A 19,174-nucleotide genomic window follows, 5' to 3' on the forward strand; every position below is an offset into this window, starting at 1 on the left:
AGGCTAGGGGCATGGTAAGAGAGTTAGGCTGGAGGGGACTGGAGAGACAGGAAAGGAGAGTGAATCCTTGCTGCTTCTTGACCCTGGAAGAGTACAGTAACTCGCTTCCCTTGCTATTTGGTGGTTCCAACTCTGCGATACAAACTATATACGTTTCTGAGCCCTCATGGCACCAGGCTGAGAGCTTTCTGGAGGTATGGTTTGCCTTGATGCTCCTCTGCCCTAACCCATCTTTCTCACACCCCTGTAGGTTTCCCTGAGAGCAGTTCCTCAGTAAATCACTTGCACAAACATCTCCATCTCAGCTCTGCTTGAGGGGACCTAAAGACAGAGTGGAACTCAAGGTCATTATATGGAGGAGCTAAAACCCATGCTATAGAACGTCAGTGCAATGGTTTAGGGTGGAGGGGCAGCTGCATTGAGATCCAGCTCCTCCCTTTTGTCCCAGCTGCTTTTTTCCTTTTCTCCCACCGTTCCTACTGTCCTGTGACACTCTGGTGTCAGATTGGGACAGATGATGGGGGAGCTCACCAACAGCAAGTGGCGTAAGTGGTCACCTTGGAGCCCTCTGATTTCAGACTACAGTTTTGTCGAGCTGTAGGAAGTCTTCTGTGTAGAGACGATCCCTTAATAAGCCAGTTGAAGTGTGATGATTAATGTATTAGGGCTGGGGAGCCCCCATCCTAGCAAGCAGTCCCTTTGACAGAAGAAAACGGACTAGGCAGATAAGAGAGAAAGTGCAGAATCACGTTCTGGTGTTCAGTTTGGCAGCCCATAGCTCATTTTAATTACTCTGAAATAATTATCTCTGGTACACAGCTGGGTTTGTCTGCGTGCAACTTGTGAGTCATTCTTCCCCATGTGAATAAATCAAGCAGGTTAGGAGGAAGGGCTGGAACCAAATGACATGTAAAAGAGGTTCTGTGGTAAAGGTTCAGAAAATGGCAAACTTTCGACCTGAAAGAAGATTGATTTGGGACATCTGGTCCTTGTGTGTGAAGCAAACAGCACTGGCTAGTGAAATCAGAAGTAGATGAGTCTTAAGGCTATTTTAGAAGAGCTGTGAGAGCTGAGCAAGGTGCATCAAGGGCTAATGTAAAAGGGACAGTTGCCAAGGAGGATCCTATAGCATAATGGTCAAGAGCTTGGGTTTTAGGAGCAGGCTGACTTGAATTGGAATCCGTATTCTATTGCTTGCCATTTAAATTACTTTGAGCATATCATGTCATCTTTCAAAGCATCAGCTTTCTATTAAGTTAGAAAATTTGTGTATGGTGCCATTTCCTTCCATGTGTGGCTTCTATTACAAGTACTAGATTTTCCTGCTGCTGCTGCTGAGGGCTTAAGGAGAGGACTGCTTGTGGGCCACCTATGCCCTGTCCATTGCCCTGGGCAGACATTACTAATCAACTCAACTCTCTTCACAGTTGGGCCTGATTGTGGAGTCAGAGATATTTTCTAATAGCACTTCCAGCAGCTACCCCCTATCTAACCAACTTGGCATGTTAATTGAAAGCAAATAACCACTTTGGGTTAAAAATGTTTCTCTTCTTTGATGTTTGATATTTCCTATCTGTAAAACCAGACATTTGAAGAAGATGATCACTAAAGGCCTTTCTCATTTGATATTCCAGTGTTTTAAGAGATAGAGAAGTGGATCATTGGGGATTGGATTATTTCAGCTCCCACCCTTTGTTTATTTGATGCTCTGCACACAATCAAGAACTCAGTTTGTAAGGTGGGGCTGCTTATGAGAAAGGTGGGAACAAGACCAGGAAACCAAGAGCCAGGAAGCAGTGAGGATCCACACCCTCATCTCCTGTCTCCCCAGTCCCCTTCAGCCTGGCTCTTACCATGTCCCTAACCTAATAGACTAGCTCCCACATAGTCCCAGATGGTCTCACTCTGAGAACCAGTCACTGGCTTCTGCTCTCATAGGATGGATTCATCATAGGATGGAAATGAAGGTTTGTATCCAAGACAGAAGCTGCCTCCATTTCAAAGTCATCTCCTCTGTGGGCCCTGAGTATTTGATTGCTCATTGGCCTCCTTGTCTAACCTGCAGATCTGCTAGTTGTCACTGGCCTGACCCTCGCTTTTCAATAATAGAGCTTACATTGTTCTTAAAGATCCACTTAACTTTTATATTATATAGTTAATATGCTTTAATGGCCAGGAAAATTAGAAAATATAGATAAACCAAAAGTCAGTTCACTGTTAAAATGTGGTTGCTTATTATCTTTTACTGCATATATGTGTACATTTATTTAAGATCATATTTTATAAACACTTCTTAATGAACATCTTTCTGCTTATAAATGGTCTATCTTATTGTTTAGAATACTGTCATTCTGATTTAATTTGTCCCTCTGCTATGACTCTCCTTTTGTTCAATTCAATTAAACATTTATTGAGTACCTGCTCGGTGCTGAGTGCTTATAGTCTCTGTGCCCCTGTATTAGTCCATTTTCATGCGCTGTAAAGAACTCCCTAAGACTGGGTAATTTATAAATAAAAGACTCACAGTTTTCCATGGCTGGGGAGGCCTCAGGAAACTTACAATAAGAAGGCAAAGGGGAAGCAAGGCATGTCTTACATGGTGGCAGCAGAGAGACAGTGAAGGGAGAAGTGCCACAATTTTAAACTATATCAGATCTTGTGAGAACTCTTTCACTATCATGAGAACAGCAGCAGGGAAACCTGCCCCTGTGATTCAGTCATCTCCCACCAGGCCCCTCCCCTGAAATGGGATTATAATTTGAGATGAGATTTGGGTGGGGATGCACAGCCCAACCCTATTAGCCCCTAAGGAACCTGGAGCCTGGTAGGAGCAAACAGATATAAAATAATGAATTATGATATACCTTGACAAACATTAGTAGAGACACGAAGTTTTACAGGAACACAGGCTGCTGAATGCTGAGTTGAGCCCAGGAGGAGGATGAAGGAGCCTTTCAAGGGAGAATGTCATTCAAACAGAACCTGTGAGGATGCATGGGCCTGTGAAGGAGCCGGCTTGCTTGAGGTTAGGGTGTGCAGAGGGGCATGGATTGGTGTGATGGTTGATTTCATACATCAAGTTGACTGGGCCAGGGAGCGCCCAGATGAAACATCATTCTGGTGTGTCTGGGAGGGTGTTGCAGGATGAGATTAGATTTCAGTTGGTAACCCCAGTAAAGTGGATCACAATGTGGGTGAACATCATCCAGTCTATTGAGGGCCTGAATAGAACAAAAGGTGGAGGAAGGAGAGACATTTACCCCGTTTTCTCCTGTCCAGCTGCTTCAGCTGGGACATCTCTCATCTCATCCTCTCCTGCCATCAGATTAGGATTTACTCCATCAGCTCCCCCAGTTCTCAGGCCTTGAGACTTGGCCTGAATTACACCACTGGGATTCCTGGGTCTCCAGCTTGCAGATGGCAGTTCATGGGACTTCTCAGCCTTCATCGTTACATGAGTCAGTTCCTCATAATCGATAAATCTGTCTCCTATTGGTCCTGTTTCCCTGTCAAACCCTGACTAACACAAGTGCTAAAGAGAAGCAGAAGCAGGGGTTATAAATGTTCTTTTTCATGACCATGTCCTCTGTCATGTAGTAGGTAATTAATTAACATGCAATAGGCGAATCAATCACTCCAACATTTCCCCCACATCCCCTTTCTGAACCTTGGTCTCAGGGTAGGAGTTGCATGTATCCAACCAGACTTAGTGACTCATAGATGGCCTGTGGGCAGATACTGCCTGTGTTCCTCCTACAGCCCTTTAGACTTTCCATCATATTTCACGTAGGGCAGACTTTCAGTTGTCAGCTTCTGCTTCTGTTGTCTTGCAGGCTGCCTTGGTGGTTTGAGCACACTCTGCTCCTGGTGTTGGAGAATTAGTGCCCTCTGGGAACAGCCATCGTCCAGTGACTTACTAGAGGCAGTTTGTAAATACCATGGCTCTTTCGCCCCTACGAGGGATAACTTGGGGATACTCTGAGCCCCAGAGTTTCCTGGGGATATTAAACTCCAGTTACCCCCTAATAATAACTTGCTTTTTACTGGTTATTTTTGTTTCCCTGTCTCATTCTCAACTCCCCTACTGGTGTTTTCTAGGATTCTGTTTTAAATAAATTACTTGCACTCAAATTCTTGTCTCAAGGTCTGCTTCTTGAGAAGCGATGGCGCTGTGTGACCCTATGGAACAAGCCAGAGATGGCTGACTGGTTTTTCAGCAATTCTGTCTGGTTAAAATTACCTGCACCAGAACTGAGTTCATAAACTTGATGTCTTTTTTTTTTTTTCCTGGACTCGATTTCCTGATGGCGCAGAGTGCGATAAACTCATATGCATTCCTAGACAGGGTATAGCAAAAGGAGCCTGTTTCCATGCATCATGAGATAACGTAGATATCATCAGAAGGCATTTGCTAGGATCTGAAGCAATAGTAAACCCTGTCTTGCCTTCATTACTGCATCTGCCAAGCTTTCTTTGATAAAAAATGACTCTAGAAGTGAAAATATTAGTGTATAACTACATCTCAGCTGACTGAAAAAGAGGTGCTTGTATTTGAATTACATAAAGGATGCAAATTCTGTGACAAAAATGGTTCTGTTAGGGAACGAAGAAGGACTTTTTAATGCCTTTGCATCTGAGACATTATTTTTATGTGTTGCTTTTTTTTTATTTCTAGCACAAGCAATTTTCATGTCAAGGACCCTATGTTAGGACAGGTTCAAAAGTGAAGGGTGTTCAGTTTTGGCTGGGAAGAGATGTGATCAAAGATTGTAAAATCATCGTGCCAGTGTGTTCACATAAATTAATCTTCCCCAAGACACCCTGAGATAAATAGCATTACTAGGCTGGGCGCGGTGGCTCAGGCCTGTAATCTCAGCACTTTGGGAGGCCGAGGCGGGGCGGATCATGAGGTCAGGAGATCGAGACCATCCTGGCTAACATGGTGAAACCCCGTCTCTACTAAAAATACAAAAAAAATTAGCCGGGCGAGGTGGTGGGCACCTGCAGTCCCAGCTACTCGGGAGGCTGAGGCAGGAGAATGGCGTAACCCGGGAGGTGGAGCTTGCAGTGAGCTGAGATTGTGCCACTGCACTCCAGCCTGGGTGACAGAGCGAGACTCTGTCTCAAAAAAAAAAAAAAAAAAAAAAAAATTGCATTACTGCAGTTTGGGAAATGGAATCCAGTGAGTAAGTGTTGAAGCTGGGAATTAAACCCTGGTCAGTGTGATTCTGGTGCCTGTGTTATGTCCACCTCATCTAAGCAATTCCCCTAATTCCTCAATAATGGGTTTTTAGATGTACATTCCTCTTGGTTAGAATGTAGTGCCCTTTGCATAGAAAAGAGACCAAATTTGATGAACCAGTAGGATTTCTGTCATTCATTTGATATAATTATATTATGAGCTCCTAATATGTATGCTTTGTTAGATGCTAGGGAGACTTGTGAATGAATCAGATATGCTCCCAGTCCTTGTGAAGTTTACATGCTATGATAAAGCATAAGCACGCAAGTAAGCACGATGATTTAAAGTAGAGGGAATAATCTAGATTGGGTGGCCAGAGGCAAGGGGTTCTTAATGCTAGATCCAGAATGGCAAAGGTCTGGAGAAGGGTCCCAAGCAGAGGGAACAGGATGCCCTACACAGATCCTGAACTGGGAGCAAAAATCAGTGTGACTCCCGCAATGTGGGCAGGAGGCAGACTCAGACAGAGAGGTGTGGTGGGGTAAGAGCTAGTTCATTTAGGGTTTTGTAGACTAAAGGAAGAAAGTTTGGATTTTCTTCCAGCTGTAAAGATCAATTATTGAGCTTTTTTTTAGAAGGGGATGGATGGCCTGATCTGATTTATACTTTAAAAGAGGGCTTAGTAAACTGTAAATAGCTGAATGACAAGTATTTCTGCTTGAGCATGAAAACAGCCATCGACAATGTAAAATAAATGGGTGCATTCCAATCAAATGTTACTTATAAAAACAAATGGTCAACTCAGGTTTTAAAGGGTTGCTTTAAACTGTGAGATTATAGAGGGAAAAGGATGGAATCCTGAGACCAGTAAGGAGGCTATTGCAGGATTTTTGGCAAGAGGTAATGGTAGCTTGCACCATGGTGGTAATACATGAGGTAGGGAGAGGACTGACTTGGAGGGGAAGATGAGCGTTTCCTGAAGGACTGGATGTGAGAGTTGAAGAAAGAAGACACATGAATGACATTTTTTGAGCATGGACAACTGGGTAGTTGGTACCATTTACTGATATGGTAAATGTTAAGGGAGGAGCAGGTTCTTTACTTCCAAAGTCAAGTCTAGGTCTGGTTTTAGCATCCGTAGTTGGGGTTTTGTTAATGACTGCTTTGTCAAAACTGAAAATCTACCAGGAATCTCTACTTTCATGTAAAAGGATTTTCAAAAGGACTATATGAAAATGCTTTTGGATTGATTGCATGGGAACTAGAAATATGAAAGTATGTCACATTGTGGCTCTGATTCAGGTATACTTAGGCAGTGTAAATCCCCCATGCCCCACCAATTCGGAAGCACTGGAGTGAGGAGATACTGACAATTTAGTGGTGTGTGCCCCACAGGAAGTATCACACTGCTATATTTAAAATAGATGCTTAGTATATGTTAGAAAAATTGAACTGTTGGCCAGGTGTAGTGGCTCACTCCTGTAATCCCAGCACTTTGGGAGGCCGAGGCAGGTGGATCACCTGAGGTCAGGAGTTCAAGACCAGCCTGGCCAACATGGCGAAACCCATCTCTACTAAAAATACAAAAATTTTCCAGGCATGGTGGTGCATGCCTATAAGCTCAGCTACTCAGGAGGCTGAGGCGAGACAACTGCTTGAGCCCGGGAGGCGGAGGTTGCAGTGAGTTGAGCTTGTGCCATTGCACTCCAGCCTGGGCAACAGAGCGAGACTCTGTCTCAAAAAGAAAAAAAAAATTGAACTGTTAAATATGCCTTTATGCTTTATTAGGGATCATGTGGTTCTGGTTTATATACAATGGGGTTGGGGCTTATATTATCTTTGACTTTTTTTGTCCAATACATTCAGGGTAAATGTAATTATAATGCTTTAAAGTATAATAGAAGTAAATGTTTCCCTTTACTTTTCACTTTCCCTGATGTGATTTTTATTCATGTGTATGCTGAGCTGGCTAAAATGCCCCAGGTCACGTACAGAAATCCTTAAGGAAAATGTGTATTCCTGAGATACGTGAACTTGGATATATTACATGGCTAGGAATTTCCCCCTTATATTGCAGAAACATAAACTTTGGGGCAAAGTATTTATGTTTGAATAATTCCTGGGACATCAAGAACCAGATGACTAAAGGTAGATCGAGGGATGATTCTGTAGTATCACAATAAAATTCTGTGAATTTATAGTAAAATTCTTTTGCATAGCAAGTACTCCCTCATCGTTTTTTTTTTTGTTTTTTTTGTTTTTATTTTTGTTTTTTGCTTTTTAAAGAAACAGGATATTGCTCTGTCACCCAGGCTGGAATACAGTGGCACGATCATAGCTCACTGCAGCCTCGACCTCCTGGGCTCAAGCCATCCTCCTGCCTCAGCCTTCCAGGTAATGGTAGTAACTACAGGCATGCCACCATGCACAGCTAATTTTTAATTTTTTGTAGAGATGGGGATCTTGTTTCCCAGGCTAATCATAAACTCTTGGTCTCAAGTGATCCTCCTGCCACAGCCTCCTAAAGTGCTGAGATGACAGATGCAAGTCACTGCACCTGGCCCCACTGAGATCTTTAGGAAGATGTTTATAACATCATATAAGGTACGTCTTCATACTCAGACCATTTCCAGAGCAGTCATGACTTTTGGAAGATTCTGGGTTTTGGGGGCAACTTAAAATATGACAGAGATCCTCTGTGGGGCAGAATCTCAGGATAATTTATTGGTTGCATGACACCCCATGTTCTATAGGAACCAAGGATGAGTGCTCTGATCCATACCTTATTCAGAATAAGAAGCTTCCAGGGGGATTTTCTAAAATAACTTTCCCAGTTTCTTCTCCAATTGTTAGTTCCTTTCCAATCATGCTAATTCATAAAATAAAAGGGAGGGGAGGAGAGGTTCCTGGACCAGCTTATGCAGGGGACTTGTTGACGCAGCTTTGCTCTTTGCTATTGCAACTGGTCCATGACAGATTTCCTTGGCACCCCTTGCTACCTATTGGGAATGCTGAAACTCCTAATTTTTTATGCCAGAGTGGGCAAAAACATAGCCTATACTTTTGCTTTAACATTCCCCTGAGTTATACCTTAACACATTATTGCACTAAAGTTCTTGTTCTCCAGGATTGTTAATAATTCTAAGTTCTAGAGGCATGTTTACTTACCAGATCTATTCTAATATGATTAACTGTAAATGAAAAGAACAAAGTGTAGATTTTCTGCAGCAAGTTGTAGCAAGGTGGAAACTGGAGAAGGAAAGCTGCTGAAAGTTGTTTGAGTTATGAAACCTTCATCTAAATAATCTCAAAGTGCTATATGATTACTAATGTTATTTTCCTACCTACCTATAATGATGTTCAGCAAGTTGCATATTCATAACCATCAGATATTTTTAGAACTGCCAACCTGAAAATACATTCACTGGCAATGGCTCTGTAAACCAGTTTCTTAGCAATACTGTCAGTTCTTGGCTTATGTGAGTAGCTCAAAGTTATATGAATTTTGTTATTCTTATTGTTCATGTAATTTCTTTTACAGTTGGGTTAATTTTTAATGTATTTTGTGTCTGTTCACTTCTGTTAACCCACATGGTCATGCTACTTTCTTATTTTATATTCAAACTGAAGAGTTCCTTGGGATTTGGCTTACTGAAGTGACCTAGGTTCTTTAGTTGTTGGTTAAGCCAACCTTAATTATATAATCATTCTTTTTGGTAAGCACTTGGTGAGGATCTGTTGAATGGGAGAGGTTATCATCAGAGTCCCCACTCTGGGAAGATATGTATCCATCCCTTTAATGGTCTTTTGATAAGTTTTCTAAATGAGTTGTGATACATAATTATATGTATGTGTATTTGTATTTATTTTGAATAGGTAATAATACATTCTCATGGTTTTTAAGAAATTACAAGCATCACACAGCAAAAGGATTTTCTCTTATCTCTGTCTCCCTTCTGCCCTTTCTTCATGACTCCCAAAGACTATACATTCTTTAATGTCCTGCCGGAGATGTTTTCATGCATATACAGGCAGATAAAATACATACTCTCTCCTTCTCTCATACAGTTGATGACATCACATACACTGTTTTAACCTTGTTTTTATTTTTCTTCCACCCAATAACATACCTTACAGATTTTAAAAATAACTGCACGTAGCTCCACGGTTAACTAGACCATGCTTCTTCATCTTATGCAGAAATTTATCACGAGGGATTGAAAAACAGTTGGATGAAGTTGAGATCTGTCTAAGCCATTTCTCTTGTCTCTTGATAAATGCCCATTGTGTGTCTGTATGAAAAAGGGCAAGATAGTGTGGCCACATTATCGAAAAGTCAGTTAAGTTAGTATAGCCTGATTTAATCTTAGGGAGCCATGTTCTAGAGAGAGGCATTTTCATTTCTAAATGCTCTTGAGACATCTTTAAAAATATTTCATGTCGAATTGTGCTGACAACCAACCTCTAGGCAGCAGTTACTCTTTCAAAATCCTCCTTTCCATTCTTCTTTCTGGAAGCTCTCCCATCCCCTGTGAATGCTGGAGGATTCCCGAGGGTGTGCCTGTATAGCAACTATCAGCTCTTGCAGAAGACTGTGTGTGTGTTTCCTGGCTGTGAGCCTCAATCTCCTACGATGTATAACTTCCTTAGCTACTTTAGGCTTCTAGTCCCTCTTAACTGCAGTTACTTTATCAGACAGATGATAATTCTATTGTTACTATTTGCACAACTCTAGGAGGTGCCATTCACAATGTAGCCACCATAGATTAGTATTTTTATACTAATAATACAGTAGTGCCTCCTTATCCATGTTTCATTTTCTGCAGTTTCAGTTACTTGTGGTCAACTGTGGTCTGAAAATAGGTGAGTATTTTACCGTGTAATAAGATATTTTGAGAGACAGAGCGACCATATTCATATAACTTGTATTACAGTGTACTTAATTGTTCTGTTTTATTAGTATTGTTGTTAATCTCTTACTATGGCTAATTTACAAATTAAACTTTGTGATAGGTATGTATATATAGAAAAATAGGTAGTGTATATAGGGTTCAGTATTATCTGTGGTTTCAGGCATCCACTGGGGGTCTGGGAACATATCCCCTGTGGATAGGGCTGCTGTATGTACTATACATAACTATATTATGTTATATGTGATATATAAGATAATATTCAAAATAATATATAACTTATACATATTCTGTATGAATTTTTATATATATGTGTATGAAGACATACTTGTTATGACAATTTTCTAGCAGGTTATTGTCAAGTGTCTTGAGACAGGGATGCTTTTCCATTATTTGCACAAATAGTACATCAAGATGGGTGGTCCCGTTCTCTGTGGTAAAGATGTAAGCAAGTTAGGAATTGACACTCCATGCTCTTTGGCTGGTGTCTATTATCATTTCCACTAAGAATCTATGCATGAGTGTATCCCTGTCTTGCTGTTCTTTTTCCACACATACATGACAAATTCTGTTTTATCGTTCTTAAAATATTTCTAAAGTCTAAGTTCATTTTCTGCTTTTCTTTCTTGAGATTCCTGTGGACTGAGTTCATCTTATGTGTTTGTCTTCCACTATAACTCCCTTTGTCAATTTGTCAAAGCTGCAGAGACTATGCTACGTCATGGGCCTCATAGCGAGGACTGAGTAAGTCCTGTAGGTGCGTACCCTAAAGTGCTGATCAATGCTATGGTATAAATAAGTACAGAGCACATAGGGAAGACACAGTAACATCCCAGCACATTGGCCTTTTGAGTTGAATCCTAAAAGATGTGTAGGAAATTTCAATAGGAGAAGAATGTTATGGGCATTTAAGGCAAAAATATGAAAATGAGCAACGTGACATATGAAAATGAGCAACGTGACATCCTGAAGGAGGATGGCAGAAAGAGGGAAAATAAACCTAGAATAATTGAGCTAGGTCAGATTATAAAGGGCCTTGAATGGGAATTTGGGAAGTCTCCTGAAGGCAGCAAGGAATTATTACAGGGTTTTAAGTTGCAATGTCATGAAATGAGAGTTCAGTTTCAGACAAGTCATTACCATTATTATTTTCTTAGGATATTAGACACATTTTAAGACTTTGTTGCTAGAATGCAAGAGAGAAAAGCTGAGAAGCTGCATTAGGGCAATGACAGTGGATGCCAAAAAAGGGAAGGGGACCAGTTCTAAAGACAATCTAAGGAAAAAGAATCAGCAAGCTTTTAGTGATGTTGAAAATACATTAAAAAGAAGTTAACCTTCAGAGTGAGTGCCCTAAAAACCACTTTAGTTTTTTAGATTCCTCCACCTTATCATACTGAGTGAACAGTTTTCAATTCTATTGTCAACTTATTTTTAAATGTCTTGTGCCATTTAGCCATTTCTCCCTTTAGAGTTTGAGGGATCATACCCACAGTTTCTTAGAATCTTTTAAATCTGTGATCCAAATTCAAGGACAAAATGCAATCCCTATGAAAATGCTCATAAGCTATTTTTCAGAGTTAGACAAGTCCTTAGTAAAGCAAACATCTACAAATAAAGAAGGAAAACACTGTGAAAGAAAAGCTCTGAGAGGAGGGTAAGCACTACTAGATGTGAAATGCTCTAACGCCTTGATAATTGGTGGGTCACTGGCACATGAATAGATAAACGGACTAATGTCCTAGGAAAGAAATGCTTATGAGACCCAAATACATGTGAAAACGTCAGATACGACAAAGGCAGCATCTCAAATCAATAGCATAAAGATAAATTTTTAAATAAATCATGCTCCAACAACTTGGTAGCTATTTGGAAAGCAGTTAAATGTTAGATCCATATTTTACACCATATATAAGAATAAACAGCAAATAGACTGGAAACCTAAATGCAAAAACTGAAGCCATACAAATAGTAGAATAAAATATGGGTGAATTCCTTTTTAATGTCTGAGAAGACTTTCACATTATGACTCAAAATTCAAAGGCAATAAAAGTGATAAATTTGACTACATACAGTTCTTACCTCACAAAAAACAAAGTGAAAAGACAATTGAAAAATTGGAAAAAAGTATTCATAGCATATATCATAGGTGGATATCCCTAATATATAAAGAACTTTTAGAAATTTAGAGGCAATGGACTAAAAACCTAATAGGAAAATCAGAAGAAGAAATAAAAATTTTTTTTTTTTTTTTTTGAGAGGGAGTCTTGCTTTGTCGCCAGGCTGGATTGCAGTGGCGCGATCTCGGCTCAGTGCAACCTCCGATTCCCTGGTTCAAGCAATTCTACTGCCTCAGCCTCCCAAGTAGGTAGGATTACAGGCACGTGCCACCATGCCCAGCTAATTTTTTGTATTTATTTATTTATTTTTTTTAAGGAGAGACTGGGTTTCACCATGTTGGCTAGGATGGTCTCGATCTCCTGACCTCATGATTCACCCACCTCGACCTCCCAAAGTGCTGGGATTACAGGTGTGAACCACCATGCCTGGCCAAAATAACAGTTTTTTACAAAGATGGAAATGGTCCTTAAACATATGAAAAGTTTTCAAATTCCCTAAATAGATAAAATTAAAACAACACTGAGATATTTCTTATCACACTGGCAAAAGTGAGAAAATATGACAACAGATTCTGTTGGTGAAGATTGTGGGGAAACAGGCACTATCTATGCATTGCTGTGAGAATGCAGGTTAGTTCATTCCTGCTAGAGGGATGACAGAGACAGGAACTCTGTACTATTTTTTCAACTTTTCTATAAGTCTAAAATTATTTCAAAATAAAAAGTAAAACAAAAGTCAGTGGTACATATTTAACCTCAAAGTTTTGGTTAGTTGTGTTGTTGTTGTTGCCTTTAACTAAGTGCACCAGGAATACCATGTAGTAAAAGGGCCATTGGGGCTGTGGAAAAATTGCACTCCTCCTGGTCCCTTTTGAAATAAATCCACATAGAAGTTATAGGAGATAACATCCATGTACCTATTGTATCAGTCAGCTAAGGCTGCCATAACAGAATGCCACAGACTGAGTGGCTTAAGCAATGAAATTTATTTCTTACAGTTCTGGCAGCTAGAAGTCTAAGATCAAGGTGCCAACAGGATTGGTTTCTAGTGAGGCGCCTCTTTCTGTCTTGCAGGTGGCCCCCTCCTTGCTGTATTCTCATATGGTCTTGCCTCTGTATGCACAGAGAGGGCTCTCTGGTGTCTCTTCCTGTTCTGGTAAGAATAGCAGTCCTATTGGATTAGGGCCCCACTATTATGACCTCATTTAACCTTTATCACTTCCTTAAAGACCCTGTCTCCAAATATAGTCACATAGTATGTGGGGAGGCATTAGGACTTCAACCTATGACTTTGGGAAGTTGTACAATTGAGTCCATTTCACCTATGCATTTGAGTTTAGTCTTTAAGTATCCAAAAATGTAGGAAATTAGTAAAATTTTTCCAGTGACAAGAAGCAAAAAAAAGTCAAAATCATTTGAGAAAGTACTATGAAATCATCTAGTTCTTTGAATCTTTTCTCAGGGAACGCCAGTGAAGAACATTTCTCCCTATAGTTCAAAGAATTATGAAATAAGGCATATGCATTAGAGATGGGCTACGGGGAGAGAGAATGAGTAGTTCTGCTGAACTGATTAGCTTTCTTGTTAAGTAAGTGAAAAGCATGTTAATTTCATTTATTGCTTATAAAGTGCACAAAAAATCAGACTTGCTGTATAAACCCTTCTCTTTCTGATAACAGCCATGGGTTGACTGTGTAGAAGGGCAATTAAGGAGAAATGATGAATCATTGCCTGTGGCCAACACACTATCCAAACTGATAAAGTTTTGCAAAAACGGACTTCACACATATTGAAGATGATTTGATTCCTGATGAGAAGGAATCAGAAAATAGGTAATTTTTTGAGATCTCTTGGGAATTCTCAAGTGCTACAGAAAGAGCAAGGGTACCCAGCATTACAAAGAAGTGGGGCCCTAATCTGATACGACTGGTAGTCTTGTAAGAGTTGGAAGACAGATCTCTCTTTTTCTCTATCCCCCACCTCCACCCCCATCTTCTACTGCCAGCTTTTGGCTCACAAAGAAGAGGTTGTGTAAGTACACGGTAAGAAGGTGGCCATCTACAAACCAGGAAGAGAGCCATCACCTAGAACCAAATCAGCCGGGGCCTTGATCATGGACTTCCCAGCCTCAAGAACTATGAGAAATAAACTGTTGTTGTTTAAGTCAACTAGACTGTGGTGTTATGGCATACTGAGATGACTAATGCATATTTATGTCCAGCAGTGAAATTGCTGGGTCATATAGTAATTCTATGCTCAACATTTTGAGTAACTGCTGAACTATTTTCCAAAGTGACTGTGCTTTTCACATTCCCACCAGCTAAGTATGGAGGTTCTGATTTCCCCACATTCTTGCCAGTACTTGTTATTGTCTATCTTTTAAATTTTTGCTATTCTAATGGGTGTGAAGTGGTATCTCATTGTTGTTTTGATTTGTATTTCCCTAATGACTAATGATGTTGAACATGTTTTTATATTCTTATTCAATATTTATATGTCTTTGAAGAAATGTCTATTCAAATTCATTGCCCATTTTAAAATTGAGGCTTTTTTATTGTTGAATTGTAACAGTTATTTATATTCTGGATTTTAATTCCTTATTGCATATATAATTTGCAATTTTTTCCCCATTGTGTGTTATCTTTCACCACTTTGTCCTTTGAAGCACAAACATTTTAATTTTGATGAAGTCTAAATTGCTTTATTTTTCTTCCTGTTGTTTGTGTAGTTTGCATCAGATCTAAGAAATCTTTGCCTAATCCAAGGTCACAAAGGCTTACTCTTGCAAGAGTTTTAGCTCTTTATAAAGTTTTAGCTCTTACCTTTTAGGTCAGTGATTGATTTTGAGTTAATATTTTTATATGATGTGAGCTCTAGGTCCAACTTTATCTTTTTGAATATGGATATTCAATTGTCCCATCACTATTTATTGAAAATAATTTTTTTCCTCATTGAATTGTCCTGACACCTTCATCAAAAAGAAATTTACCATAAATGTTAGGGTTAATTTTTGAACTCTCAATTCTATTCCATTGATCAATATGTGTATCCTTATGCCAGTGTCATACTGTCCTGATTAGTATAGTTTTGTAATGAGTTTTGAAATCAGAAAATATTAGTCTTCCAACTTTGTATATTTTCCAAGATGTTTTTGGCTATTTGGGTCTCTTGGATTTCCATATGAATTCTATGATCAACTTGTCAGTTTCTGCAAAAATAACAACTGATTATTTGATAGGACTTGTATTAAATCTGTAGATCAGTCTAAGGAGTATTGCCATCTTAAGTTTTCTGATCCATGAGTATGGGATGCATTTCAATCTATTTAGGTCTTTTTTACTTTTTCTTTTTTAAAAACAATGTTGTATAGTTTTCATGAGGAGGCTTATGCTTTTTTTGTTAAATTTATTCCTATGTATATATATTTTTTTATTTGTTTTATTTATTTCAATTTTGGATTGCTCTTTGCTAGTGTATAGGAATATAATTGATTTTTATATATTGATCTTGTAAACTGCAACCTAGCTGAACTTATTTGTTCTAATAGCTAAAAAAAACACCTTCTATAGACAAAGTCATATCACTTGTGTATAGAGATAGTTTTACTTCTTCCTTTCCAATCTGGATGTCCTTTATTTTTCTTGCCTAATTGCCTGGGTTGAAACATCTAGTATAATGTTGAACATCAGTGGTGAAAATGATTTCCTTGTCTTGTGCTGGATTTTCAGGGAGAAAGGTTTCAGTCTTTCACCAATGAGTATGATTCTAGCTGTGAGCTTTTATGTACATGATCTTTACAATGTTGACGTTTCCATCTGTTCCTAATTTTTAATTTTTTTCTGTGGGAGTGTTGGATTTTGTCAAATGCTTTTTTTCTGCATTTATTGAGAAGGTCATGCTTTAATAATTTGTTCTACTTAATATGGCGTATTGCATTGACTGATTTTTCATATGTTGAGCCAACCTTGAATTCTTGGGATAAATCCCTTGGACATGGTGTGTAATTGTTTTGATATGTGGCTGAATTAAGTTTGCTAGTATTTGTTAAACATGTTTGCATATATATATTCAGAAGAGATTTTGGTCTGTAGTTTTCTTATCTTTTGTCTGTTTTTGATATCAGAGTAATACTGGCTTCATAAAATGAATTATGAAGCATTATCTCCCCCTCACTTTTTTGGAGGGGGAAGAGTTTGTGAGGTATTTTTGTTAATTCTTACATGTTTGGTAGAACTCACCAGTGAAGTCATCTGTTCCTGACATTTATTTGCGGGATTTTATTTTTATTTATTTTATTTATTTATTTATTTATTTTTGTTGTTGTTGAGACGGAGTCTTGCTCTGTCGCCCAGGATGGAGTGCCGTGGCGCCATCTCAGCTCATTGCAAGCTCCGTCTCCTGGGTTCACACCATTCTCCTGCCTCAGCCTCCTAAGTAGCTGGGACTACAGGCTCCTGCCACCACGCCGGGCTAATTTTTTGTATTTTTAGTAGAGACAGGGTTCCACCGTGTTAGCCAGGATGGTCTCCATCTCCTGACCTCGTGATCCGCCTACCTCGGCCTCCCAAAGTGCTGGAATTACAGGTGTGAGCCACTGCGCCCAGCCTATTTGTGGGATTTTAAAAATTACTGATGAAATCTCTTTATTTTTATACATCAATTTATATTTTCTATTTCTGCTTGACTCAGTTTCAGGAGCTTGTGTCCAATTCATTGAGGTTATTTATTGGCATGCAACAGTTCATAGTATTCTGTTCTATTTTAAAATTTCTGTAAGATCAATAGTAACAACATTTTCATTCTTGTTTATAGTAACTTGTCTCTTCTCTTTTTCTTGGAATTCTAGCTAAAGGTTTGCCAATTTGAAGGTCTTTTTAAAGAATTCACTTTTGATTTTATTGATTTTTTAAAAATATTATTGTATTCTCTATATATTTATTTCACCTCTAATATTTATTATTCCCTTCCTTCAGATTACTTTGTTTTTAGTTTGCTCTTTTTTTCTAGTTTCTCAAGGTGGAAGACTGTTATTGATTTCAGATCTTTCTTCTTTTTTAATATACATGTTTCAAGCAATAAATTTCCCTATAAGCACTGCTTTAGCAATATCCTAAACTTTTGGGATGTTGTGTTTTGTCTTCATTCATCACAAAGTATTTCAGTTTCCCTTGTGATTTCTTTTTTGACTTATCAATTATTTAGCAGGGCATTGTTTAATTTTTACATATTTGTGATTTTCACAAATTTCCTTCTGTTACTGATTTTTAATTTTATTTCACCGTGGCCAGAGAACATGCTGTATGATGTCAATCTTTTTAAATTTGCTAAGAGTTGTTCTATGGCTTAACATATGGTCTATGCTGGAGAGTATTCCATGTGTACTTTAAAAAATGTGTATTCATTACCATGACCAACGTGGTGAAACCCCGTCTCTACTAAAAATAAAAAAATTAGCTGGGTGTGGTGGTGCCTGCCTGTAATCCCAGCTATGCAAAAAGCTGAGGCAGGAGAATCGCTTGAACCTGGGAGGCGGAGGTTGCAGTGAGCCAAGACTGCTCCATTGCACTCCAGCCTGGGCTACAGAGTGAGACTCCATCTCAAAAAAGAAAAAAAGAAAAAATGTGTATTCACTGTTGCTGGGTGAAGTGAGATTTCCATTAGGCCACATTGATTTACAGTGTTGTTCAAGTCTACTATTTCTTTCTGCTTATTTATTACTGAAAATAGGGGTTTTAAGTCTTTATTACTGCTGAATTGTCTATTTCTCTTTAATTCGGGCAGTTTTTGCTTCGTATATTTTGGAGCTCTGTTATGTGCATATATACTTATAAGTATATTCCTCATGGATTGGATGGATTGACCTTTTTGTCATTGTAAAATATCTCCTTTGAAATTTTTGTCTTAAAGTCTATTTTGTCTAATATTAGTGTAGCTACTTCAGATCTCTTTGGTTATTGTTTGTGTATGTTTTATGTATTTTTTCTTCCAAACGTATTTGTGCCTTTAAATGTAAAGTATGTGAGTGTGCCACTTGTAGGTAGGATATATTAAGGCTATCCTACTAGTTTCTATTTTTTGATAGGTGAGTTAACCATTTCCATTTAATATAATTACTGATGAGATAAGAGTTAAGTCTGCTATTTTACCTTTTTTTCTATGTCTTTTTTTGGCTTATCCTTTCATTACTGTCATCTTTAGTGTTAAACAGATATTTTAAAATGTATTATTTAAGTTTTATAGTTATTTCTTTTATATTTGATTAATTTTCATAGTGGTTGCTCTGGGGATTACAATGAACACATTATAAAAATCTAGTTTGGCTTATTATCAATTTAATAGTATGCAAAAATTTTGCTCCTGTGTAGCTCTGAGGTTTCCCTTATTCTTGGTGCTTGTAATACAAAGTATATCTTTATACATTAATTATTGCTTCATGCAGTTGTCTTTTAAATCAAATAGGATAAGGCAGTAGTTACAAACAAAAAGGTTTACAAAGAATGGAAACAAAATAAGACTGAAGCAGATGTGGGAGAATATATGTGGGAAAATAAATCCTTGGGATAAAAAATCCTGGAAACATTTCTCCAAATTAAAGCTGCTAAGAAAAATTTGAAAGTAAAGGAGGAGTAGGTTAGATCTACTAGTAATGAGTTCTCTCATATTTCGTTTATCTGGGAATGCCTTAATTTCACCTTAGGTTTTGAAAGATGGTTTTGCTAGACATAGAATTCTTGGTCAATTATCTTTTTCTGGTCAGGCACAGTGGCTCATGCCTATAATCCCAGCACTTTGGGAGGCCAAGGTGGGCGGATCACGAGGTCAGGAGTTTGAGACCAGCCTGGCCAATGTGGCGTAACCCTGTCTCTACTAAAAATACAAAAATTAGCTGGGCATGGTGGCGCGTGCCTGTAATCCCAACTACTCAGGGGGCAGAGACAGTAGAATTGCTTGAACCTGGGAGG

At 38.7% G+C, this 19,174-nt stretch overlaps 1 long non-coding RNA gene and 1 pseudogene across 1 annotated transcript, besides 2 other annotated features; one reads left to right on the plus strand and one right to left on the minus strand.

Moving 5' to 3' along the window:
* Positions 768-947: an enhancer, noted in NCBI's record as "active region_19386". NCBI's record gives its function as "activates an Ori minimal core promoter by ATAC-STARR-seq in GM12878 lymphoblastoid cells {active_cell/tissue: GM12878}" and the evidence as "EXISTENCE:reporter gene assay evidence [ECO:0000049][PMID:35858748]".
* Positions 998-1,077: an enhancer, noted in NCBI's record as "active region_19387". NCBI's record gives its function as "activates an Ori minimal core promoter by ATAC-STARR-seq in GM12878 lymphoblastoid cells {active_cell/tissue: GM12878}" and the evidence as "EXISTENCE:reporter gene assay evidence [ECO:0000049][PMID:35858748]".
* LOC105376936 (uncharacterized) lies at positions 9,402-13,278 on the minus strand. The gene is made up of 3 exons (XR_940567.3): positions 13,209-13,278; positions 10,421-10,523; positions 9,402-9,474 (listed from the first exon to the last, which is right to left on the minus strand). It is a non-coding gene; the product is annotated as an uncharacterized LOC105376936 (long non-coding RNA).
* MRPS35P1 (mitochondrial ribosomal protein S35 pseudogene 1) lies at positions 18,707-18,834 on the plus strand (annotated as a pseudogene).

Source organism: Homo sapiens, chromosome 3, assembly GCF_000001405.40.
Source record: "Homo sapiens chromosome 3, GRCh38.p14 Primary Assembly".
Classification (NCBI taxonomy): Eukaryota; Metazoa; Chordata; class Mammalia; order Primates; family Hominidae; genus Homo; species Homo sapiens.